This window comes from Homo sapiens, chromosome 5 (genome assembly GCF_000001405.40).
Source record: "Homo sapiens chromosome 5, GRCh38.p14 Primary Assembly".
Classification (NCBI taxonomy): Eukaryota; Metazoa; Chordata; class Mammalia; order Primates; family Hominidae; genus Homo; species Homo sapiens.
In genome coordinates, this window is record NC_000005.10 from 59678909 (window position 1) to 59706653 (window position 27745).

At 36.6% G+C, this 27745-nt stretch overlaps 1 protein-coding gene and 1 non-coding gene across 23 annotated transcripts in view; both read right to left on the minus strand.

Moving 5' to 3' along the window:
• PDE4D (phosphodiesterase 4D) overlaps nt 1-27745 on the minus strand; it is a 1553091-nt gene that overhangs the window by 709871 nt on the left and 815475 nt on the right. The window lies entirely within an intron of this gene.
• Nucleotides 24698-24795, minus strand: MIR582 (microRNA 582). Its single transcript, NR_030308.1, has one exon. It is a non-coding gene; the product is annotated as a microRNA 582 (primary transcript).

The window sequence follows — 27745 nt, forward strand, 5'->3', positions numbered from 1 at the left end:
TACCATTGTAACTGTACAAAATTTACAATCTCTCAAGTAATATATGTGTGCCTGTTTCTTTACCCCTTTCCTAGACTGAGCATTACCAATCTTTCTATTTCTAGTAAATTGTCAAATTAATCTCAGAGAAGACTTAGAGACAGTCTTATTCACTTAGTTTATTTTCTCTCATGTGGCAAAAGGCAATTATAATAAAAGTCAACGTTTACTTTTAACTCATGATATGTATTACACAATCGGCCTCTCATAATAACTCAATCCTTATTTTTATAACTCTGCAATCAGGAAGGAACAATAAAATTTAATTCCAATATTGCTAAACCTAGGATAATTTTGTAGACTAGAGTGTCTAAGTGTCATAGTAACAATGGCTGAAAGAAAAGATGTTTTTCCATACCAACTGAAATATATGGATTATCTTGGTACAACAAAACTCTTCTAAATTTATTTTATTTTATTAGTTTTGGCCACATGAGAAACAGCAAGAAATTCCACTGCTAGTCCTCCAAATAGGTAATCAGATATATCTGTGGTTATCTTCCCTCCATAAACATTTCCTAGTGATTTTGTTAACTATAATTCTGTAATACAAACCCTTTGGGTAATACTCCTATAGACATCCCACAATATATGCACTCCACACAAAGAGATAAATGACAGTTATCTTCTGTAATCAAGCTCCTGCCAACTTAAGGTAAGTAATGTATGAGAAAGATAACCTAATGGCAAGGCTGGCAAGTCATTCTACTATGTGTACTAAGCTCTTTCTCAACATCAAGTAACCAGACTTAACAATGATTTAAATTACTATATGAAGACTTTCATGGAATAATGATTTAATATTTTGACTTATAACAAGACTAAGTATAAGAACATCACTATTTATTCATGATTAATAATGTACATGTATGTAACTCACATAAAAATACTATTAAACATATTATTGCTTTACTTTACACAAAGACCCTAATGAAAAGTCTTATAATTAATTATAGAAAGATAATTTTCTCTCAAGACATAAATATTATCAGGTTTCTCTATTTGCTGTATCTTTGAGGAAGCTATTAATATTTTAAGACCTAAACTTAACTCCAAGTACGAAATACACTTTTACATTTGTGTTTCTAACTTAGCTTTACATAGGCATTTTATCCATTTTTAAAGTTAGGATTGCTTAATTCCTTTTTTGAAACAAAAAGCATAAAAAATACATAATTAATGGCATTGCTTTTATACCCAACTTTTATTATCTACAATAAAGATGTGATCATGTACAAATAACCAGATATGAAGAGCCACAAACCCACATATGCATTTGGAATTTACTCAGAACTATGTTTGAAAATACTCATGCACTAACATTTGTCCCGTTGTTTCCAGATTATCCTGAAGTTTGGTCCAAGACAAACTTGTTCAGATTTTCTGATTTAGATCACAGCTCTATACTCTAGGAAAACATGGATACCTACACCTCAGTTAACTGAGTCTTAAATGGTGCTAGAGATTTCTTATTATTAAGGAAAGGAAATTATTAGTTGATATTTTAAACATAGAAACAGAAAATATCATTCCAGATTAATCGATTCAACTCTAGATGAAAACAAATTTATATATTAAAACAAATTAACTGATCCATATTTAAAATAAGTAACAGAACCGTGAAGTGAGTGGAAGTGGCTGTGAGAAAAGAACTAACCAAGTGAATTTTGAGTACAGAATTAGGCATATAAAACATAAATAATGCTAAAAGTCTACTTACTGAAATACTTTTCTTTGCCTTACTTCTCTTTTTCCATAGAGGCGTGAGTGGGTAATTCTGAAAGTAATTTTTGAAACCACATTCCACAGGTAAGAAAATCCTATGCAATATATAATATATTGTGAATAATGGGAGCCAGGCTTCTCACCGTAACTTCTCACAGAGTTACAGATACGAAAATGGAGAAGAACAGAATGAGCACTGCAATGATGGATTATCATTGTGAAATCCTAGGTTTAATGTATACAAATATCTGAATATACCCATGGATATAGGTATGTGTGGGTATGCATATATATGCACACATTTATATATGAGTATGTACATACATACACTTTCCCCCTAGATATGTCTACTAAAAGGACCTAGAAGCAAAAGCACACCTACTCTCCAAATTTTGATTTCTAAAAACCATTCTTTACTGAAAGGAAACAGAGAGCCCTATAAAAGTAGCTGATTCCAAGGCTTGGATAAAAGAACAAGAGTCTCATATCTAAAACCAAAAAGTAAAAAAGTACTCAAAGAATGATAGTAACGTGTTAAAATGACAAGGGAGTCAACTAGAAGTACCTTGTACTGTCCAAATCCAGGACAGTATGAGGATTAAGATAAATAATGATATTAACCAACAATATTAAAGGATAACAACCTGCTAAATAAAGAATTCATGACTCCACACAGAAACAAGCACGAAGAAACATTTTTATGCATAATAGAAAGCCAACTAATAAAAGAGGAAGAAATGATGAAATTACAAGATTTCCCCTTAGCAAACCACTATGGTTTGAATATGTCTCCCAAAGTTCACATCTTGGAAGCTTAGACCAAAACGCAACAGTGTTAAGAGTTGGGACATTTAAGAGATGATTAGATCATGAGAGCATTCCCTTCATGAATGGATTACTTTATCTGTTATCATAGGAGTAGGTTCCTTATAAAAGAATGAGTTTGGGCCAGGTGCGGTGGCTAAGGCCTGTAATCCCAGCACTTTGGGAGGCTAAGGTGGGTGGCTCACGAGGTCAGCAGATGGAGACCGTCCTGGCTAACACGGTGAAACCCCGTCTCTACTAAACAAAATACAAAAAATTAGCCGGGCGTGGTGGTGGGTGCCTGTAGTCCCAGCTACTCGGGAAACTGAGGCAGGAGAATGGCGAACCCGGGAGGTGGAGGTTGCAGTGAGCCGAGGCGGAGTCACTGCACTCCAGCCTGGGTGACAGAGCGAGACTCTGTCTCAAAAAAAAAAAAAAAAAAAATGAGTTTGGCCCCCTTCTCCCTATTTCTTGCCCATGTGATACCTTTCATCATGTCATGATGCAGCAGGAAAAAGGACTGCACCAGATGCAGCCCCTTGATCCTGAACTTCTCAGCCTCCAGAACCATGAGCCAAATAAATTCTATTCATTATAAATTACCCAGTTTGTGGTATCTGTTACAGCAGCATTAAACCAATGAAAACAGCAACCATCATAATAACACAAGTAACTGATTTAGACAGGAATCACCAACGGATTCCAAAGCTATTGGGTAAGAAATTGAGGAATAACAGCATATTTACATGCTCTCATATTATCATGGTACAAAATGCTTTTTAATTACAAAGGAGGAAAATAGTAACTTTACAGTGGAGAAATCTGGTAGGCACCACTTGAACTAAATGATCAAAGCTAAATTTGTCAGTAATGGTACTAAACAACAGCATCTACCTCTGGATATAAGGAGTTAGCATCCCTACTGTGATATTCCTGCCCAAGTTGTATGACCTGACTATCATCCCCAGGAAACACAAAATAAACTCAAATTGAAAGATAGTCTATGCTTTAGACTGAATGTTTACGTTGCCTCCAAATTCATATGTTGAAACTTAATCAGCAATATGATGGTATTTACAGGTGTGGCCTTTTGGAAGTGATGAGATTATGGGGACAGAGCCCTCATGAATGGGATTAATGCCCTTATAAAAGAGACCCCAGAGAACTCTCTCTTCCTTTCTGCCATGTAAAAACACAGCAAGGAGACAGCTATTTATGAGCTAGAAAGCTGATCCTCACCAGACAGAAAATCTGCTTAGCACAGATCATGGGATTTCTCAGCCTTCAGAACCATGAGAAATAAATTTCTGTTGTTTATAAACCATGAAGACTATGGTAGTTTGTTATAGCAGCCCAAATAAATCAAGAGAGTGTACAAAACAATTGGCATGTAATTCTCCAAAAATATAAATGTCATGAAATAGTCTTTCACGAAGACTCAGAAACTGCTCCAGTTTAAAGGATATTAAAGAGACATGACAACTGATTGAAAAGCATGATTTTGTAATTTCATTGGCTACACAGAACATTATTGGGACAATTATTGAAATTTAGAATAAAGTCTGTAGATTAGATAACAACATTTTATCCATGTTAATTTGCTAATTTTAACCACTGAACTGTACCTATGTATGATAATTCCATGTTTTTAGGAATTATTTAAGTATTTAGAAGCAAAGGAGTATCATGTCTGCAACTTGCTCTTAATGTGTATCAATAAGGAAACGTGTGTATGGGTAGACGGATACATAGATGATTAGATAGACAGAAAGGTAGATATGAGAGACAGAGATTGAATAAAGTAAATGTAGTAAAATGTTAACATTTGGGGGATATTGGTGAGGGGTATCTGGGAATTCCTTGTGCTATTCTTGCCACTTTACAGTAAATCTGAAATTACATCAAATTAAAAATCAAAATCAATATAATATATTAACTTTATGGCTTATAGATATTTAAAGTTAGAATTGTCAAGTGACATTCTGGTGAATGCTTCAACTAGTTATAACTATTTTCCAAATATTATAAAGCACACTCAGCATAAAATCCTGCTTTTTGATACCTTACATATTTCGAGGACAACTAGATTTTTCAGTTATGTCTTTATAACCACACTGTACAGAAAGTAAATATATATCGAGCAGAAAATAGCTATTCGTGACAAATCTCACACCTGAGATTAAGAGTCTGCTAAATCGTTCCATTACATTTTGGCCTTATGCCCTATATTTTTATCTTCTTTTATCAAAATGTGATTTCTTCATTGTAATTTATTAGTAGTTTTTAGATATAGACAACATATTTAAATATATAGTATCACCATCTTTTTTGTTTGGTAGAATCATACCATTTTAGTATGCCATAACAGAATTATATACATCAATATTTTTGTCATTCAGCCTGGCCCACATGACTCTGAGATGTTCTGAATTGGATTGGGCTCATAGAATAAAGTCCAAACTACTTGCCAAGACCCGATGCCCCATATAATCTGGCTTTAGGCCAATTTTGCAGATTTCTCTTTGACCGTAATCCCATAAATTCCCTATGACATGCAAGGCTCTCTGTACTACAAACCTTTTCTATGCTCCTTCATATAACCATGAACTTGAAAATGATGCCTATTCAACTGTCAACTCCTAACGAGCTAGTCACCCTCCAAGACAAAACTCAATGTCAAGTCCTGCTTTAAATCCTCCATCCCTCCCTGAGCACTGCCCTCCCTTCTTTCCCAAAAGGTTATTCTTCCTTCTTCTGTCTCCTCATATCTTTTGCTCATACTTCAAACATTTCTGTCATATTTTAATGTATTCTACAGTATTATCTTTTCCATTAGACTGTCATGTTTTATCATTTTTTTCTGATCCTCTCCCCCACAGAGCATAGAAAAGTGGCTAGCACAAATGCAGCTCTCGATACCATTTTTTTGAATAAATGGATAACAAAAAACAATAAATATCACAGAAAAATACAAGAATTTTTGAATTACAAAAGAGAATGGTAATTATTAGCCACTAGGTTGTACAGAGTAACCTTCATGAAGGAAGTGGTAACTGATTTGGGCATGAAGAATGAGTAAGATGTGGAGATAGAAGGCATTGTAATAGAAAATAAGAAACAGAAAGAACCAAGATCTAACAGTCTCTGTGTGGGGCCGTGAGGATATGCTGCAGACCTCCAACTATAGGAACTATAACCAGCAAAGGGCCCCAACTGATGCCTCTGAAATTCACTGCAACATTTTAGCTAAGGCCATACCTCCCATGCCCTGCTTCCTGGTATTTACTGAGCACAGAGGGCATGTTGTGGCAGACACATTCCTGGGAAACAGGATTCCTCTGATGGCTGATTTTGGCTTGAGGACTCCCATATGCCTTTGGCTAGCCCAATCAAGGATGCTCTCACCAATTCTCTCTCCCTTCTTTACTCAGAGTCAAACTTGGATCATGCTTTGACGTTTCCCTCAGCCTTAACTGGCTCCCTCCTTATATTCCTCTACAAGGGCATTTCCTAAAATTCTTGCATTTCTAATCCCATTTTGGCATGGGCTTCTTGCAAGACTCAGACTAACACATAGAGTATAGAGTATGTATGGAGTAAATAGGGAATTAAAGCTGATGAAGCAAATTGGGACTTTGTTACTGAGAACAACATGCCAATTCAATACATTGTGCCAAGGCAGGATAAATCTTTATTTTCTAATACGAACATAACTGTCTATGTAGTTTTTAGATTTCACAAGTGGCAAGGAATTTATAACTTCCTTTTGAGAACTATTTCATAGTTTAATCATCTTTCACAGCTCACGTAGGTCTTTACTAAATCCTTTGTGATTTAAGATCATTTCTTCCAGCTCTTCTGTGGTGATAGATTACAGCCAACTTTAGACATACTAAATTAACTACATCAACTCTTAGTCATAACAGGAATTCCTTCTACAATATTATGCACACATGGTCTTGCAGGGCCATTTGTCACTTTTTCTATTTGATACAAAATTATTTCTCATTAATAATCTAATCATGAAACACCTGTTTGTTAGGCACTGAAAAAATTTTCCCTGTTTGAAAGCAGAAAAACAAAGATTTGTATGTTTACTTCAGAGAGGATTTTGTGATTTCTAATAGGAAGCAAACAATTGTTTTTCTTTTCTCAAGTCTTTTAAACTACTCTGCCTTCTATTGACAGAGTAAGAAATTAAATCTTCAATTATTTAACATAGCATTTTATCTAATTAAAAATAACAGATTTTTTTTTTCTGCCAAAGATTTGAAACAGAGATGGAAAGCATGTGTGGGAAATTCTGTTACCTTTCCAGATCTCTGCTTGAATAAAATAAAGGCATTTTCTGACCACGATAAGCACACTGTCTGATCCAGATCCTCCAAGTATGCAAATCAACAGGAAAAGTTCCAGCAGCAAGACTTACCCATCTGCACAGAGTTTCAAAAATGGTGATGTACTTACCTAAAATAGAAAGAGAGATGACATTAGTGACATTCATCGCAGCTTAGACACATAGTGAAAAACACATTCTAGAAGGCAGTTAGAGCATCTGTTCCCCTCACCATTGCCAAGACCCAGTTTTAAGGCTTTTGTTTATGACACAACAGGCCAGATGGTGGTGTCTCTCACTGTCCAAGTTTACTCTGAGTACACTTCATAGGTATTTGTTCAATAAATACTGAAAAAGATTATAACAATCAACTAAGCAAGAACTATGATTTAATAACAGCAGCAAATTTAACATCTATTGAGGGATTACTTGCCTGCCAAGCCCAGTGCAATATGCTTTGCATATTTTCCCATTTACTCTTTAGATAGTGGACATGAGGTAAGTACTATTATTATACCTATTGTAAAGATGAAGTAAATGAGCTTAGGGAAGTTCATTAACTTGCCTAAAGTCGCTCACACAACTAGAAAGTGTTGGAGCTGAAGTTTTCACAGGCTCTCAGATTCTAGAGCCCACTTTCATGATCTTTATGCTATATTGCCAAAACCCACTGGGAAATAAAGATATATATCATTACCAGTACTTTGTTAAATAATACATTTTAAAAATAGAAATGATCACAATTTTAGAATTTGGGAAAATGAACAATGCCTAGTACACAGCAGCTGTTCAATAATATCTGTTGAGTGAATGAAAGAATAAGCAAAGAAATGTCACTGATATTTAATAAATATACACAGGTTATATCTCAACACAACAAATATTTACCCACAGAGCACTCTACTGTACAGCTTATTTCTTTCTTCCTACAGATGACTATGTACCACTATTTTAATCTGCTGATTATTTGAAGGTGAGAACTAAATGCTCTTAAGTGAGAAAGATGATGGATCAATCTAGACCAAATGACTGGGGAGTTACCAAGGAGAGGATGGAATTGTCAAATCTTCAAATGGCATGTTACTCAACATATAAAATCCTTCTGTAATTGAAGAAGCAATTAACAAACACCATTTAACAGTTCAACTTTCTTCAGCCCTTTGGTTACTCATTTTGGTAGAGGTTCTCATTAGCAACAAAATATTAAAGAAAGAAGCAGCTAAGAGAGAAATAGAAACATGAGACTGGCTATTTGAAAGAATGCTGTAATTGAAAAACAAGAAATACTCAGCACCTCAAATTCATAAAGAGATAATCATCAAGTTATCTCATGTTTTGACATTGATAACATATTCCAATGAATCAATTTTTAAAATAATTATAACACCCTAAAAGAAAATTACCCTCTAGTAGAATGCCACAAAGATACTCCTCGAGAAGAGCAACTCCAAGACACATAATTTTCAGATTCACTAAAGTTGAAATGAAGGAAAAAATGTTAAGGGCAGCCAGAGAGAAAGGTCGGGTTACCCACAAAGGGAAGCCCATCAGACTAACAGCTGATCCCTCGGCAGAAACTCTACAAACCAGAAGAGAGTGGGGGCCAATATTCAACATTCTTAAAGAATTTTCAACCCAGAATTTCATATCCAGCCAAACTAAGTTTCATAAGTGAAGGAGAAATAAAATCCTTTACAGACAAGCAAATGCTGAGAGATTTTGTCACCACCAGGCCTAGAAGAGCTCCTGAAGGAAGTGCTAAACATGGAAAGGAACAACCAGTACCAACCACTGCAAAAACATGCCAAATTGTAAAGACCATCGATGCTAGGAAGAGACTGCATCAACTAATGAGCAAAATAACCAGCTAACATCATAATGACAGGATCAAATTCACACATAACAATATTAACCTTAAATGTAAATGGGCTAAATGCTCCAATTAAAAGATGCTAACTGGCAAATTGGATAAAGAGTCAAGACCCACCACTGTGCTGTATTCAGGAGACCCATCTCACGTGCAGAGACACACACAGGCTCAAAATAAAGGGAGGAAGGAAGATCTACCAAGCACATGGAAAACAAAAAAAAGGTGGGGTTGCAATCCTAGTCTCTGATAAAACAGACTTTAAACCAACAAAGATCAAAAGAGACAAAGAAGGCCATTACGTAATGGTAAAGGGATCAATTCAACAAGAAGAGCTAACTATCCTAAATATATATGCACCCAATACAGGAGCACCCAGATTCATAAAGCAAGCCCTTAGAGACTTACAAAGAGACTTAGACTCCCACACAATAATAAAGAGAGACTGTAACACCCCACTGTCAACATCGGATAGATCAACGAGACAGAAAGTTAACAAGGTTATCCAGGAATTGAACTCAGCTCTGCACCAAGTGGACCTAATAGACATCTACAGAACTCTCCACCACAAATCAACAGAATATACATTCTTCTCAACATCACATTGCACTTATTCCAAAATTGACCATATAGTTGGAAGTAAAGCACTCCTCAGCAAATGTTAAAGAACAGAAATTACAACAGTCTGTCTCTCAGACCACAGTGCAATCAAACTAGAATTCAGGATTAAGAAACTCACTCAAAACCGCTCAACTACATGGAAACTGAACAACCTGCTCCTGAATGACTACTGGGTACATAACGAAATGAAGGCAGAAATAAAGATGTTCTTTGAAACCAATGAGAACAAAGACACAACATACCAGAATCTCTGGGACATATTTAAAGCAGTGTGTAGAGGGAAATTTATAGCACTAAATTCCCACAAGAGAAAGCAGGAAAGATCTAAAATTGACACCCTAACAGCACAATTAAAAGAACTAGAGAAGCAAGAGCAAACGCATTCAAAAGCTAACAGAAGGCAAGAAATAACTAAGATCAGAGCAGAACTGAAGGAGATAGAGACACAAAAAAACCCTTCAAAAAATCAATGAATCCAGGAGCTGGTATTTTGAAAAGATCAACAAAATTGACGGACCACTAGCAAGACTAATAAAGAAGAAAGGGAGAAGAATCAAATAGACGCAATAAAAAATGATAAAGGTGATATCACCACTGATCCCACAGAAATACAAACTACTATCAGAGAATACTATAAACACCTCTATGCAAATAAACTAGAAAATCTAGAAGAAATGGATGAATTCCTGGACACATACACCCTCCCAAGACTAAACCAGGAAGAAGTTGAATCCCTCAATAGACCAATAACAGGCTCTGAAATTGAGGCAATAATTAATAGCCTACCAACCAAAAAAAGTCCAGGACCAGAGGGATTCACAGCCGAATTCTACCAGAGATACAAAAAGGAGCTGGTAACATTCCTTCTGAAACTATTCCAATCGATAGAAAAAGAGGGAATCCTCCCTAACTCATTTTATAAGGCCAGCATTATCCTGATACCAAAGCCTGGCAGAGACACAACAAAAAAAGAGAATTTTAGACCAATATCCCTGATGAACATTGATGCAAATATCCTTAATAAAATACTGGCAAACCGAAGCCAGCAGCACATCAAAAAGCTTATCCACCATGATCAAGTGGGCTTCATCCCTGGGATGCAAGGCTGGTTCAACATATGCAAATCAATAAATGTAATCCAGCATATAAACAGAACCAAAGACAAAAGCCACATGATTCTCTCAATAGATGCAGAAAAGGCGTTTGACAAAATTCAACAACCCTTCATGCTAAAAACTCTCAATAAACTAGGCATTGATGGGATGTATCTCAAAATAATAAGAGCTATTTATGACAAACCCACAGCCAATATCATACTGAATGGGCAAAAGCTAGAAGCATTCCCTTTGAAACCTGGCACAAGACAGGGATGCCCTTTCTCACCACTCCTATTCAACATAGTATTGGAAGTTCTGGCCAGGGCAATCAGGCAGGAGAAAGAAATAAAGGGTATTCAATTAGGAAAAGAGGAAGTCAAATTCTCCCTGTTTGCAGATGACATGATTGTATATTTAGAAAACCCCATCGTCTCAGCCCAAAATCTCCTTAATCTGATAAGCAACTTCAGCAAAGTCTCAGGATACAAAATCAATGTGCAAAAATCACAAGCATTCCTATACACCAATAACAGACAAACAGCCAAATCCGAAGTGAACTCCAATTCACAATTGCTTCAAAGAGAATAAAACACCTAGGAATCCAACTTACAAGGGATGTGAAGGACCTCTTCAAGGAGAATTACAAACCACTGCTCAATGAAATAAAAGAGGACACAAACAAATGGAAGAACATTCCATGCTCATAGATAGGAAGAATCAATATCATGAAAATGGCCACACTGCCCAAGGTAATTTATAGATTCAGTGCCATCCCCATCAAGCTACCAATGACTTTCTTCACAGAATTGGAAAAAAACTACTTTAAAGTTTATGTGGAACCAAAAAAGAGCCCGCATTGCCAAGACAATCCTAAGCCAAAAGAACAAAGCTGGAGGCATCACGCTGCCTGACTTCAAACTATACTACAAGGCTACAGTAACCAAAACAGCATGGTACTGGTACCAAAACAGAGATATAGACTAATGGAACAGAATAGAGCCCTCAGAAATAATACTACACATCTTCAACCATCTGATCTTTGACAAACCTGACAACAATAAGAAATGGGGAAAGGATTCCCTATTTAATAAATTGTGCTGGAAATACTGGCTAGCCACATGTAGAAAGCTGAAACTGGATCTCTTCCGTACACCTTATACAAAAATTAATTCAAGATGGATTAAAAACTTAAATGTTAGACCTAAAACCATAAAAACCCTACAAGAAAACCTAGGCAATACCATTCAGGACATAGGCACAGGCAAGGACTTCATGACTAAAACACCAAAAGCAATGGCAACAAAAGCCAAAATTGACAAATGAGATCTAATTAAACTAAAGAGCTTCTGCACAGCAGAAGAAACTACCATTGGAGTGAACAGGCAACCTACAGAATGGGAGAAAATTTTTATAATCTACCCATCTGAGAAAGAGCTAATACACAGAATCTACAAATAACTTAAACAAATTTACAAGAAAAAATCAAACAACCACATCAAAAAGTGGGCAAAGGATATGAACAGACACTTCTCAAAAGAAGACATTTATGCAGCCAACAGACACATGAAAAAATGCTCATCATCACTTGGCCATCAGAGAAATGCAAATCAAAACCACAATGAGATATCATCTCACACCAGTTAAAATGGCAATCATTAAAAAGTAAGGAAACAACAGGTGCTAGAGAGGATGTGGAGAAATAGGAACAGTTTTACACTGTTGGTGGGACTGTAAACTAGTTCAACCATTGTGGAAGACAGTGTGGCGATTCCTCAAGGATCTTGAACTAGAAATACTATTTGACCCAGCCATCCCATTACTGGGTATATACCCAAAGGATTATAAATCATGCTGCTATAAGACACATGCACATGTATGTTTATTGCAGCACTATTCACAATAGCAAAGACTTGGAACCAACCCAAATGTCCATCAATGATAGACTGGATTAAGAAAATGTGGCACATATACACCATGGAATACTATGCAGCCATAAAAAATGATGAGTTCATGTCCTTTGTAGGGACATGGATGAAGCTGGAAACCATCATTCTGAGCAAACTATTGCAAGGACAGAAAACCAAACACTGCATGTTCTCAATCATAGGTGGGAATTGAACAATGAGAACACTTGGACACAGGGTGGGGAACACCACACACCGGGGTCTGTCATGGAGTGGGGGGAGGGGGGAGGGATAGCATTAGTAGATATACGTAATGTAAATGACAAGTTAACGGGTGCAGCACACCAACATGGCACATGTATACATATGTAACGAACCTTCACGTTGTGCTCACGTACCCTAGAACTTAAAGTATAATAAAAAAAAAAATGGGAAAAGAGACAGAGCCAAACTATTTTAAGATGATCTAGCCATGATGTGCAAAAAATAAGCTTAATAATATAATAATGAAAGTTGTATGTAATACTTTCCTTTCATTCAATAAATATTATTTTATATAGGAAGTTCATTTTATAATACATGTCAAGTCATAGGGGTGAGATAGGAAAGAGGCACATTTATGGCCTTCATTATTAAGCCATATGAGGGGTAAGTTTAGAAACAAAACAACCTGGGCAAAATATAAATTGGCTATAAGTAGGTCATAGATATTTACGTTTCTTGTTAAAATATATGATAGGAAGAATTCATAGGTTTCATCCTCTGGCTTTAGACTGTGATATTACCTATTCATGTGGGAAAAGTTCTTCTTAATGTATAGGAAAAAAGGTTCTGATACGTAGAATATCCTTTGTTCCATTTTTGAATTGATAGTGCAATTAGTTAAGAAATAAGACATAGGAAGACTTGAGAACCTAGGTATTTTACAGAGTTTTAAAGAGAGAGCTCTTGGTCTTCTTGGGAGGGTCTTAAGGATCCGCTTTTTATTGTTGTATTCTTTGTTCATGTAATTTGTGCTGCTTGCCTTGGTTTGACCATGGTTCTATAGCAAAGCAGAATTCCAAGGGGATTGGGTGAAAGAAGAACTCTTAAGTTATGGCTGGTTTTCCCAGAACCAGTTTCTTAAATAGCCTCTAAAATCTTCATCTTTTTCCAAATAAACATTATTAGTAATCTCTTTAAGAGTAAACCCCATCACCTCATATTACTCTCACGTACTGAGCTTTTAATATACATCAAGAAGATTAAGCACACACCTCAGGTATTAAAATGTGTTTCCTCTGCAATCTCATTTTATATCAAACATCAGTATGGTTATCTCATGTTGTAGAGTATTGCTGAACTAGATTCTATGTTGGCTGAGCTCTAATTTAAGTTTAGATACAGCTCAAGCCCTACATAGAAGCACATTTAAATGCATCGCTTTAGCTTGTTTCTGTAGCATTTAAAGGTTCTGGCATCATGGAAATGATTTTGGAGGTATTCTGAGTGCCTCTGTTGATTTTACCAGACTTGTGACCTTAGGCAAATGGCTTAATTTCTCTTCCTCACTTTTCATTTTGCAATGAGAACATGAATATTAACCATTTACATAATTATAACCAAAGTTATGAGGCTAAAGTATGAGAAGAGTGACAGGGACAGACAAGTATTCAAATAAGAAGTTGTTTGCTAAGGTCTATTTAATGTATTATAGTATGAGCAAGAAAAGTTTTCAGATTTGTGCACATTAATTATAATATTAAAGCTGACAGGGTTGAGAATATTTGCTAATTTAAAAATTATAAAGTTGTTCATCAGAATGATGTAAATATACTCTAGAAGACCCTGAAATTGTATATGTTTTCAAGTTTTGAATAAACAACATAACTGAAGGAAAAAAATAGTAAAAAATATATAAATAAAATAAAGAAAGAAAATTACCCTCTAGTAATTCAAGTCCCCTTTTTCATAAGCGGTGCCAGAGTAAAATAAACCAATAAAACATGAGAGACTTCACTCAAATGTCCAGAATCTTTACCAAAAATAGTCAACATGAAAAGTCTTTATACCTGCAATGTTTTCCACTGCTTTTCTCAGTATTATTTATAGATCTGAGTTATATATTAAAAGTGGTTATTAAAGCTAAGCCAAAAAGAAGGAAGGCTGATAAAGTTTTAAGCAGTTTTGTTTCAAGATCAAACTGGACAGATCTGCAAAGAAAATCACAACTATTTGCGAATTTTAGTGAAACAAATGGAACTTTTACAGCAAATTCAATGTTTACCCTTAAAGATAACTGAACTTAATGACTCAAAACTTTAATTATGAGGTAGTTACAAATGTATGTGGTTCCATTTTGATAAAGACCTGGGAGAGGATCCAAGGAGCAAAGTTATTTGCAAAAAAAGTTAGGCAAGATTTGATGGAGTGTACTTGTTGAATACGAATGACTGAAAAGTATTTTTTAATCTACTTCCTTGTGATGATAATAAGGTTCTGTTTAACATTAGATCTGTCAGTGAGCAGATAAAGGAAAGAATCTAAATAAGATTCACTTTCAATAAGCTCGGAGTAGTCTATGGATTAGGATTTATACCTCCATTCTACTGAATATGTGGATCAGTTCTAAGAGAGAAAATATTATGAAAATAAGACATCAAAGGTTGATGCCTTAAGGGCTAAAGAAATACAGGCAACTCAGAAAATGAATAGCATTTGAATTTATACTCGGGGAGGAAAAAAAGGACTTCAAAGAACAGTCATATTTATTCACTAGATTAAGGCAGACATTTTTCCAGTACAAAGTCTGTGACACAATTCTTCACCCCTGTCCAATCCCAGCCTCCATTTTCAAATATCTTGGCCATGCAGCAGTTTCTTTTCAAACGAAATGAAACAAAACAAAACTTTATTATTTTATTGAAATTCTAGTCACTTCCTTCACAAACTCCCAATAACTCAGTGTATTTATTCCTCTATAAAGTAAGTGCAGATCAGAAGAATGAGTTATACACCAGGTTGGCCGTCTTCGCTGGGAAGATGGTTAGGTCAGCTTGAAGTGAAGTCAGTAGTTGTGGTTTACTCTATGTCTATGTCTGGCACTGCGCAGTGAGCCTCTGTTCTTAAAGGAATCTTATTTTAATCTTCTTGGGAAGGCAAGACATTCATACTTGAAACAACTATTAAATGATGCAAAACAACTTACAATTAAATGTAAATTACACGGTGGAGACATCAAATGCTACAGGAATTAAAAGAAATGAAGAAAAGATGTTTCAGCTGTTGTGTGGGATTACAGCAATATGTTGTAACTGGGTGGGAGACTATTAAGAGACTCCTGATAGGGAATGTGCATCCAGTACATCTTCTTCTTGACCACATTCAGAGTCCCGCATAGAGATTTCTGGAAGAGCGTGGGAGCTGCTTCAGAACAAAGCCAATGTCTTGAGAAGGACCATGGATCTACGGTGATGTTTGAAGAGCAAGATTAAAATGTATACTGTATCCCTATGACCATTTGCTCCTACAAATCACAGGTTATTAATTGATTATAACTAGTAACACACATAACAGTCTACTTCTAAAGGACTTTTACCAAACATTACTATTAATAACTTTTGCTGAAGGATGTTCATTAATTCACACAGTAACTACTCATAGGTCAGCTCTCCACCAAGGAGGCACAGAGAGGTGCTCATAATCATGAAACTTTCAAATTGTATTAAAGTCGGGACCCCCCAGGAATACCCATCTGACTTACACTTATATCTAATCAAGGTCAGCCACTTTGAAATCTCCATGGTCTCTAACCTTTTAGGATCTTTTCTTTCAAAATTTAATGAGCAGCTCAAATCCATATCTTTTATTTATCATAGAACCCAAACATCCGGGCTTCAATAATGCTTCTGCATTTTTGAAAAAAAAAAAATATCGAGTCAAGGAGCATTTATTCCAGTGTGAGTCTTCTGCCAACTGCTACCCTACTGACCCACCCCTCATTTACAAGGGCCCCTTCTTTACTCTTAGCTCCTCACAGTATATTACAATTGCTTCCCCAAGGCAGGAACTGCACCTTTTATTGCCATAATATTATACCAAATGTCATCTCTGTGCATAACACGTTATGTATGCAACATGTTTGTTGAAATAGCCGAATTGTTTCACTAGTTATCTGATAGTTTAACTACTCAGGCCAATGGTCAAGTCACTCTTGTCTGGGCCCTAGCAACTCTCTGCATGATGCATATTGGACCTTGAAGTCCTTTCAAGATGAACTACACAGACTGGTGACATATTCAAAAATGGTGTGTATTTGATTTTATTCTATTTTTTTTCTTTTTGAGACATGGTCTGTGTCGTCCAGGCTGAAGTGCAGTGGTACAAACACAGTTCGCTGCAGCCTTGACCTCCTGGGCTCAAGTGATCCTCCTGCCTCAGCCCCCCAAGTAGCTGGGACTACAGACATGAGCCACCACACCTGGCTAATTTTTTGTTGTTGTATTTTTTGTAGAGATGGGGTTTCACCACGTTGCTCAGGCTGGTCTCAAACTCCTGAGCTCAAGTGATCCACCTGCCTCAGCCTCCCAAAGTGCTGAGATTACAGGCATGAGACACTGCTCTTGGCTGATTTAATTATTGTTAAACTGATTTCAACTCATATTATCTGGCTCAAAGTCATTCAACTCGACATGTGGAAATATTATGTTTTGAATCATTATGTGCTAATACCTTTAGTTATTGTCTTCTTTTTAAAATGAGAAAATAAAATATGATTTACACATATATAGGAAAGAAGAGTAAGTTAACTTTTTAAAAAGTCAACTTTTGTTACTATGAACTTGCTGGTTTACATGTATTATGCATTCCATCCTCCCAACAACCCTAGAAGGTAGGGGCATCTGGGAAATGAAAGGCTGAAAGTAAATAATATGAGATTATATAGCCAAGAATGGTAAAGCCAGGATTCAACTCAGGCCATTTTTCCAGAGTCTTAGTGTATAACTGCCAATCCCTACTTCATTCATAATTTCATTTAATAAATGTCCATCAAATGACTACTATAATTGGGCACTTATTCTAGGGATACATCAATGACTACACATCCTGGCCCACATGGAGCTTACATTCTATTGAAGGGAGACAGACAATAAGCAATATCTTAATATACATTATACAGCATGAAAAAAAGTGACAAGTGCTATGAAATTCATTGATGTGGAAAGAGAGGGTAAGAATGGCGCTAGTGGAGAGGAATGCATTTGCAATGGTAAATAGGATGTTCAGGGAAGGCCTTGTTGGAAAAGTAAGTACATCTAAGCAATGATCTGAGTTATACTTTAACACATTTATTTGATGAGAAACCAGTAAAAGTTGAGAATACAATAGAGCAAAAAACTGCAGGAAAATACTGAAGCTCTTGGTTTTTATAAGGTATTTATTCCAGTCTCATACTTTAGTCAAACTTGCACATGTTTTGTCACTTGTATTATTTTTTTAAGTTCCTTGACCGGAATAACTGTGCTTCACACAGCTTTAAATCCTTCCATAGTGCTTAGAAGAGTGGCTGTCACAACAGAAAGTATCTGTTGAAGGAATGAAGGACTAATGGAAAGAGATACACATATGAGAAGTAAAAAACAGAAAAAAGACCACATCAATAGTTACAATCACTGGTAAGAAAACCCCAAAATAGATCTAGTCTAGAAAATAAATTCAAGGAAGAGTACTTTCTGATCATGGTAATGAAACTGAGAGAAGATATTTGGGAATAGAAAGAGAGTAGTTTTGCTAATCTTGAGGATGAGAAAGTTGAATAAGAAAGCCTTCCTGATGGGGAGTAATTTGGGGTGAATCTAAATTAAAGGCCACACTGAGCAGACTGAATAAAGTTATTCATCCATTGAATCAGCATTTACTGTGAGCCACCTAAGTACTAGGCACTAGAGGAAAATTCATTAATAGATAGTCCCTGAATTTATGTGCTTATATTCTACAAGAGACAGCTATTAAATAAAAAAGTTACATAATCAATTAATTATAATTGTGTTAAATGCTATAAAAGAGGCACATAGAGGGCCAAAGGGGCTTAATCTTTCTGGGGGTACCAGGAAGGAGAACCTGAGACCTGAAGGGCAAGTGTGTGGGGGTGGGAGTGGAATAACAGGAACTTTCTATGTTCTATGTACTACAGGTATTCAATGAATATCTATCAAGAATTGTTATGTTCCTGCACTACATACACCAACACTTACCATCTCATTTACTCTTCAAAGCAAACCAATGAACAAAGTTTCACTATGCTCATTTAACAGAAGAGAAAATTGAGGCTCAGAGAGATAAAATATCTTGACCAAGGTCACACAGGTTGTGAGCCAAGATTCCAGTCCAAACCTGTTCAGGATTTTCCCATATCAGTCAAGTGTCAGGCAACCTGTTACCAAGATCTCTGCTATTCTGATGAGTTGTTATTATGTACTTGCTAAGAAACAACAGCCTAGGTAGGGGCTCAGAGTTGATTCAGGTCAGGGCAGGTTGATATCAGCTAGAATAACCAATGAAAAGCCCTGTTGAATTGTCCCAATGGATCTAGCCCTTGGTCCTACTTGATGTAACAAACTTTCCTGCCTTTATTTACTGATTTTATGCAGTGGACAAATACTGAAGCTCTATAGACATCAGTTTCAGCATTGTGAACATGAAAATGAATTATACATGCTCCTCTCTCAAGCAGTTTAGTCTAGTGAAGATTCAGACCCATAAAATAAATGGAGTTTAATATGGCAAATGTTACAAAAATATTACAAAAACAGTATAGAAAGCATTCATCCCACTATAAGAGGCTCCTAATTTTGCCTGAAGTCTTCTAAAAGAAACTGGACTTTGGCTTGGAGGTTAAATGGAGCCACAGGATATTAAGCAGAGGGATGGAGAAAAGCATTCTCTTTAGGGACAAGATAAAGTCTGCCATGTTTTTCAAACAGCAAAATGTTGGTTGGCTGAGATGTATCTGAGTGTGTTGAAGGCGAGGGAAATGGCCCTGTTCCCACTTAAGCAGATCACATAGTAATCATCTTGACCCCGGACTTTCTACATTGCATGGATATTTGAGAAGTTGACTATGTTGTGGTTTACTTTCTGGCATGAGCGCTTTAAAACTATTACCCAACATGAAGGGTCAAGCAGAAGGAAAGAGATCTGAAGCACCACCACATACACCCACATTCAATCCTATTACAGCAAACTTTACCTGTAAACTGACTTGTTTAAAAACATTAGAACACTAAATGTAAAAAGAATGACAGCCCACACATAGTGCTTAGAGATATTTTTTCTATTTATTTATTTATTTGAGGTTGAAAGATAGCAAGAACATGAAGAAATGGAATTTGCGTGACAGTCCCAAAGCAAATCTATTCAAAAGAAAACCATAATTACATATGCAGCTCTCTTGACAGGGATGACAGCAGTGAATCAACATTCTGCGCTGAAGACCTAAGTCAATATGCATTTGATTCAAAAAACTACCTTCATTAGCACAGACTATCATTAGTGATCACAGATCTATATAAGGCTGAAAAACCTAATCTCTGTGTCTCTGAAAACTGCAAAACCACCTTAGCAGTTGCCTAATTTCCCTGAGAGTGGAGGTTTCACTTGGCCATTGGGCTCAAGAGGCCTTAAAGTGGGCAATTAGCTTGCTGGATTATGCAGTGTACTTTGTACCTCTTCATTACATTTTCCACCAGGCTTGAGTCGAACAGAAGAGCTTACAATGTCAATGACTTTGACCATTTGAGATTTTGAAGCAGAATTTCTTAACCTTTTCATTTCTACTGTTTCTCAATTGATCTACAGCTGGGGAAATGTAATTCTCTCATAATTCTGTTAAAAAATTATATTAATAGTTCCATGGAACACACAGAAGCAGGTATGTTAAATTATCAAATTGAATTTGAGAGGGGAGAAATAAGAATCAGAAATTATGTAAATTAACAATTTAACATACTCAATGTGGCAATAAATTATAGCTTCATAGCTGGTGGTTATAAGTACGTCAACAATTAAAAGAAAAATAATAAAATAAAAAGAGTTAGCTCTCTGGCCACATCTTCCAAAATTATATAAAATAGAATCATGACTTATTGGATCCCCAAATCATTTTTAAATTATAGAATCAGCTTTTCCTGTGGGGGTCTTCTATTAAAAAGATGGTATTAAGACTGCAGGAAATTAAGAATGCAGGCTTTGGAGCTAGAAATGTCTGGTTCAAACACAAGCAGACCTGAGTGTCCAAGAAGTGGTAGCTATATATAATTATGATGGTGGTGGAGGTAATGGTGACTGCAGTGACCTAAACAAAAAAGAGGAAGATAGAAATGATGATTTGGTGATCAAAGATCAATGGAACCTTTGTTTATGGACACTGACTTTTGTCATTTTTCTGATAAGTACTTAAGAACCAATAATATAAAATAGGGACTATTTTACACCTCTTTTTCAACCTGTAGCAAAAAGGTATTTATTTTTTCAAAATCTTATCAAGGTCAGATTGATGCCAATTAAGTATCAGTATATCCCTCATTTCAGTCACCATCTACTAGTTAGATCCAATTTAGATAGTCTACCTCCTAAGAGAATCTTAATAGCTTCATTTGCACAGGAATGATAGACTATTGATCAGACAGCCTCAGGCAGGATCCCTTTAGTTTGAGTAGATATATTTAATCTAATAGTGCATTGAAAATCTAATAGCTGGTCTCCTGGGATCCCTGGTCACAAATTTTAATACCCTGCACAATGAAATTGCATAACCATTACTGAACTCTATCCTGTTGCCAACTAGGAATATCTAGAAAACCAATAAAAGGAAGAACAAAACATTCAGAACTGCAGGGCTGTGTGATTACAGTCTCTATTGTTTCTGGTTTAAAGTGAAATCAATTAATTGCAAACACAATTAAAGTAACTTTGCAGTAGTTGGCTAAATAGAAAAACATTTTGTGGTATTATTATTTTACCAACAACCCAACTTTGGCCTATCATACCTATGACACTTTTATTTTCCTTCTATAAATCATGCCACAAAGGTTAAAAAATTAAATAACGACATAGGCCTTTTATTACAATCAAAATGGGTAAGAATGTGACTTTGCAGAGATTAAATAAAACAGCTATCTCTTCATGATTCACATTTATTGAATACCAAAAATAATATGGGAGAAAAAAATCACGTAGATTTCACACCTAATAAATGAACAAAGAAGGAGAATAAGTGTATAGATATCTTATATAAATGTATAGGCATATTTACTTATCTATTTACATGTATTTACATGCTAGATTTCCCCACCAATGCCATGGACAGAACCTCAATCCCCTTATTACTTCCAAAATTTACACTGCCTATCCCCAAACCTCACCTTCTTTGGTCTTATTTATCAATTACCAATATCAACTCAGTAAATGACTGGTCCCCTTCTCCAGTTGCATTCAGATCACATGCCAATCATATCCACTAAACATTTATGAAATTAGCATTCTCCTCTCAATCCCGTAGAATCACAAAGCTAGCTCAAGCCTATGTGATGTTTTGCCCAAGCCACAGCAGGAGCCACCTTTTACATTCCCAGCCTTCAATCTTGCCACTTACATATTTATTCTCCATTCAGCCCCTAGAATCTGATCTTGTCACATAATTGCTTGGAATGCTTCATGGTTTGAGGATGAACCCAAAGTCCTTAACCTGGCTCACAAGGTCCCCAGAACCTAAACCTTATTTATCTCCAGGCTCATGTCTTGTCACTGAACTACTAAATCATCCCTTCATCACAAATACCATGGGATTCCTTGCATCAGTGTCTCTGTTCCTGCTATTCCTCTCTCCCTGAAATGCTCTTCCTATTCCTCTCTCCACCCTACATTCATTCTTTAAGACTCAGTTTAGGTCACACTTTTCACCCCAGAAAAGGTTAGGTTCTGCTTTTTGCCACTCCCATAAAATCTTCTGCATAGTGCTAATCACGGCACTCACTACACATTTTCCCTGATAATCTACGTAAATATTTGCTTCCCCTGCTCCAATTTGAACTACTTTAATCTAAATTCCCTGAGAAAAGGTTATTATTTGTATTATTTATGTTAGTGTCTTCAGTATACCTAGAACATAGTACTGTAGATACCCATACAGGTTTTGTTAAATGAGTGAATGAGTGAGTGAGTGAATGAATGCTTTTCTCTAGAACAATTAATACTGAAAAGCAAATGTAAGCACAATGGAGAAAATGCCATTCCTTAGAATTCAAGAATGAGTGTGAGGGATAAGCCCAAGGAGTTTCACAATTATGGAAAGTCACACTCAGACAGTGAGAATAGAAGTGCTGGTTGTGGAAGGTGAAGACTCCAAGAGGAGCAACACAGAGGTGAGGAGATGGTACCAGCAAGACAAGAAGGCTGTGTGGTGCATAGTTGATGTGAATCTTCTTCACAACTTCTCAAAGCTTTAGTACAGTTCACACATGCTATGTGTTCTTGGATCCCTTGTGAAAAACAGCTCAATTCCTCTACAGCTTTGCATCCAGACCTGAGGCCCAGCAGAAGGTAAAAACATATAAGATGGACACAGAGTTCTGGAGGCAGAGAGTGGCATAAAGGTGTCAGGTGTGGCACTAACATAGAGGTCATGGCAAAAGTTAATCACATTTCCAAGGGCCAAGAAAGCACTGGTCAATAGAAATATGACAGAAAAGAATGAAGAGGGAAGCTAGGTGAAAGAGGTTTTCATACATCAACAGCAACATCACCTGGAAACAATTTTTGATTAGTTAGGCACTTACTAATTATTCCCTGCTTTTCTTTTTTTGAGATGAAGTCTCACTCTGTCGCCCAGGCTGGAGTGCAATGGCACAATCTGGGCTCACTGCAAGCTCCCCCTCCCAGGTTCACGTCATTCTCCTGCCTCAGCCTCTCAAGCAGCTGGGACTACAGGTGCCCACCACCACACCCGGCTAATTTTTTGTATTTTTTAGTAGAGACGGGGTTTCACACCATATTAGCCAGGATGGTCTCGATCTCCTGACCTTGTGATCTGCCTGCCTCGGCCTCCCAAAGTGCTGGGATTACAGGTGTGAGCCACTGCGCCTGGCCAATTATTCCCTACTTTTAAAATAAATTATAATCGTGCTGAGAGAATAAAAAAATTAAAGGAAAGAGTTCAGTGAGCCGTGATCATGCAACTGCACTCCAGCCTGCTCAACAGACAACAAACAAACAAAGTTATCATTCAAAATGTTTCCCATGGCCAGATGCAGTAGCTCCTACCTCTAATACCTGTAATGCCCGCACTTTGGGAGGCCAAGGCAGGAAGATGGCTTGAGTCCAGGAATTTGTGACCAGCCTGGGCAACATGGCGAAACCTCATCTCTACAAAAAATACAAAAATTAGCTGGGTGTTGTGGCACATGCCTGTAATTCCAGCTACTTGAGAGGCTGAGGTGGGAGGATCACCTGAGCCAGGAGAGGTCAAGGTTGCAGTGAGCCATGATGGTGCCACTGCACTCCAGCCTGGGCAACAGAGTGAGACCCTGTCTCAAAAAAAAAAAAAAAAAAAAAAATTAGACCAAAAAACAAAAACCCAAAAAGCCAAAATGCATCCAAGTATCATAAGTGAAAAAGTGAGCTTCTTAGCAGCCAATATGCAAAGGGAACATAATCTCTTACACAGTTTGGAATTACTCAGAAAACGTGGAACTGTCTTCAATCCTAAAGCGTCACATAGAAATGTTCCCTGAGTCTCACTGGGACAACACACTGAGCAATAGCTTTACCAGAATGTTTTGTGAATATGGTATGATATCAAGAGTAATAAAGTTATTTTGGAAAAAAATAACTTTAGAATAATCACTTAAAAGTCTGCTGTTTTTGACCATAATTGCACATGGATATATTGCCTTATATAAACTACAAAGAATTGTCTATTTCACATCACATTTTACAACTTACATTGCAAACCTCACTTCAGCCTTGAGGTACAACTATCAATAAAAGAAACAGGTCTTATTTTTAAAACTTTTTATTATTCATATCCTTGGTGACTTTCAGACAATAATTAACATGTGGTTAGTATCACCTTAATGGAGGAAGTACCTTATACTTCAAACAACCCTTACCAAAAGAACAGATAATACATATGTATTGATACAGCATTACAAATTGATGATAATTCAAAAAGGCACCATGTAGCTTGTACTTGAGAAGGAATTTTCCCTTTGCATATTGAAGGGGGTTCTGGTGGTGTTTTCTTTGTCCCCAGCCGACTTCACAATGAAATGTTTCTACTTTGCACCCTTTGGGTTCAGTTGTTCAACCAGTTACAATTAGTTAGATTAGTAACTGGTTGAACAACTGTAATCAAAGAGCACAGATTGACTTGTTGTGGTCTACTAGAGAGAGATTTGCTAGTGGTGTTCAGCAGGGCTCTGTCTGTCCTCTTCAATGTGTGCATGAATGACTTGAAGCAACATACATACATTCAAGAAAAATTCATTAAACATTGAATCATCATCTAATATTTGCCTGCTATTATGACAGGTCCTGAGGGAACCAAGAAAATGTCAGTTACATGGCTCTGATGCAAAGCTGGGAAGAAGGAGAAGGAGTCAGAGGTAGAGGCAGAGAGAGTAAAAGAAAGAGGGAGAAAGTGAGAAAGTGAGACAGAGAAAGAGAGGGAGGCCATGTTACACAACAGGAAATGTAACACATGACCTCCAGCTCGAAAAATTTGAATAAAAAGATATTTCAAGGAGTGCGAGGGAGGTAACCCTTACAATTATTAGAATGAACATTTACTCATTGTCAACACTATGGAGCACATATTTGGGAATTCACCTTTATTTATGCCACACAATATTATGTAGGTGACAAGCTAACCCGTCGTATTTAACAATATAAACAAAAACACAAATATCCTACTTTATTAAACTGAAAGCAGAGGACTCTCATCTCCCCAAAGCCCAGGCCATTCCCTGATATTAGTAAGGATACTAGGTGAAACTCCTTCTTTCAACATTTATTGTAATTAGTGAAAACATGCTTAATGGGACACCATCATCTACAATGATGACACCATATCTCAAATCACTAATCTTTCTGCCATGGACAGATTTCTGTATCAGGGGACACCTTTGTCATTTTGTCATCCAAATTTTGAGGATTCTTTTTCAATTCTCCAGCATTGACTGAGAATTTAAATGGTGCCAGCATTGTGCTGGAAACTGGATAAAAACTGAGATAACACACTTGAGTTCCTACTCTCAGAGAATCCACTTATTGGATTGCTTTGCTATAATTCCTGAATCCAGTGAGATTAACTGGTATTTTCTGTTGTTCAAAAAACTACTTTTCCCCTTTTTGTACAGATCAGCAATAAACATTTACATCGAGATTGTGTGGTGTCCATGAACAAGGCATTCAGTAGGGTCCAAGTCTAGACTTGAATGGCGTCTCTCACATTTTTGACTAAGAGACAATGTAGACATAAAAGTATCATAATCCAACTTACATACAAAATGGAAAAAATGGAACCAGAACACCTTAAAATGTTTCCTTTGAAATATGTGTGTGTTTCCATCAGGTTTATTTTAGTTCTCTAAAACTCTGTAATACTGAATACTCCAACTACCAATATTAGTCAAAGCTGTTTAAAACCAGCCTTCCCTTATTTACAAAAGGCAGATTTTACAAGACAACTATCAGGGATAAACACAAAAAGAAATGAAAACTGTTCCATGTCTAGCAATTCGCCAGAGTAAACTGGCTGTATATTGAACACAGCTGTTTCTGTGAGGGATTTTTCTTTTTTTGGAATTTAATATTGACTGTGCTCTTGTGGCAAGAATATAGTAAATGAAAGATTGTTCCAGGCCTGAGAAGAAGAGAGGCCAGAAACAATTGTTCCCCTAGGTCCTCCCCTTCCTTAATAACCAAACTGTTGTCTGGAGCCTCCTTGAGTTAAAAGCCTACCATTTTTCATGTCAATTACACACAAACAGGACTTTTCTTGTCACCTTCCCTAAACTGAGGAAGACACAAACCCAGCAGGAAGGCAATTGTAAAGATAAATTTAAAAGTAAGAAGGCAAGCCTGAAATGCAAACATAGGAAAGAGCCTCTTATTCCCTACACTTCTCACTTTTCATGGACCATTGAAGGCTGTTTCTTACCAAATTGAATTCTTTGAAAAGAGAAACCATGACAATTTTCCCCAGGCTACGGTAAATATATTTTCTTGCACATTTAGTTTTTGTTTCATAACAATCCTAATAAAATTAGATGCTTTTAGCACCTTACTTAAATTAAGAAGACCTTTCCTGCTAATGTGCCCAGAACCTATCTGGGTTACTAATATTAATAGTTCCATTTTATCATGTACTTAACTTTGTGCCAGGAATTGTACACAGCACCCTATACATGTTATGGTATTTATTCTTCCCAATAGTTTGAGGGAATCATGCTTGACATAGTAATCCATTGATCACTTCTTACTTTGATCTCTACTTATCCTCTTGTAGGATCAACTATGCAAAGTGGTGGATTATAGCACAATGTTAAAGGGCAGTGCTCTGGAGTTAGATGGTCTGTATTTGAATCCTAGCTGCAGGAAGTTGGGGAAAGTACAAAATGAAGATAGTAGTGCTACCAATCTCAAAATATAAATTCTGGAGATTAAATTAGGTTTAATATGATTGTTTGGTCCATCTCTAGACTAGTACCTTGACCACTAGTACTCTTTCAGAGATTTTTTTATGTTTTCAAGAATGACAAAAACGAAATTCTATACACACCCTGATATCCCCAAAGACACTAGTGCCCTGGGGATTGGCCATGTGGGTTACTAGGTTCCATTTATTTGGTTATGGAGGATGTTCTTCACCCAAGTTAATCCTTTCACAAAAGCTCATTTTTGTTCTTTTTCCTGCAGCTTCCCTCAGAAGAAGCTGTGGCCAGTGAGGATTTCAGGGTCGCTTGTCCCCAGGTGATATGGGAGTTTCAGCTCAGGAAGTGACTAGGTTAGATGTGGGGGCAAATCAAGACCTTTTCAGCCACTAGCTTAAGGCTAACCCACCACAGACCTACCTTCTTGAACAACACTGGGAATTTGGGTAATTAAATGCTAGGATATCAGACATGATGTGATTAAATCGAAGGGCTGAAACAAATCTGACATTCTGTGCTCAAATTATAAGGTTAGCAAATAAGAAAACTAGAAATATCTCTCTTCTAGGCAAGAATGAGAACATAAGTCTACCCAAATGTGCTCTACAGAGGTTTCAGGTTTAGCATCTTGCTTAAGGATGATGCTTCATGGTTTAGAGAGA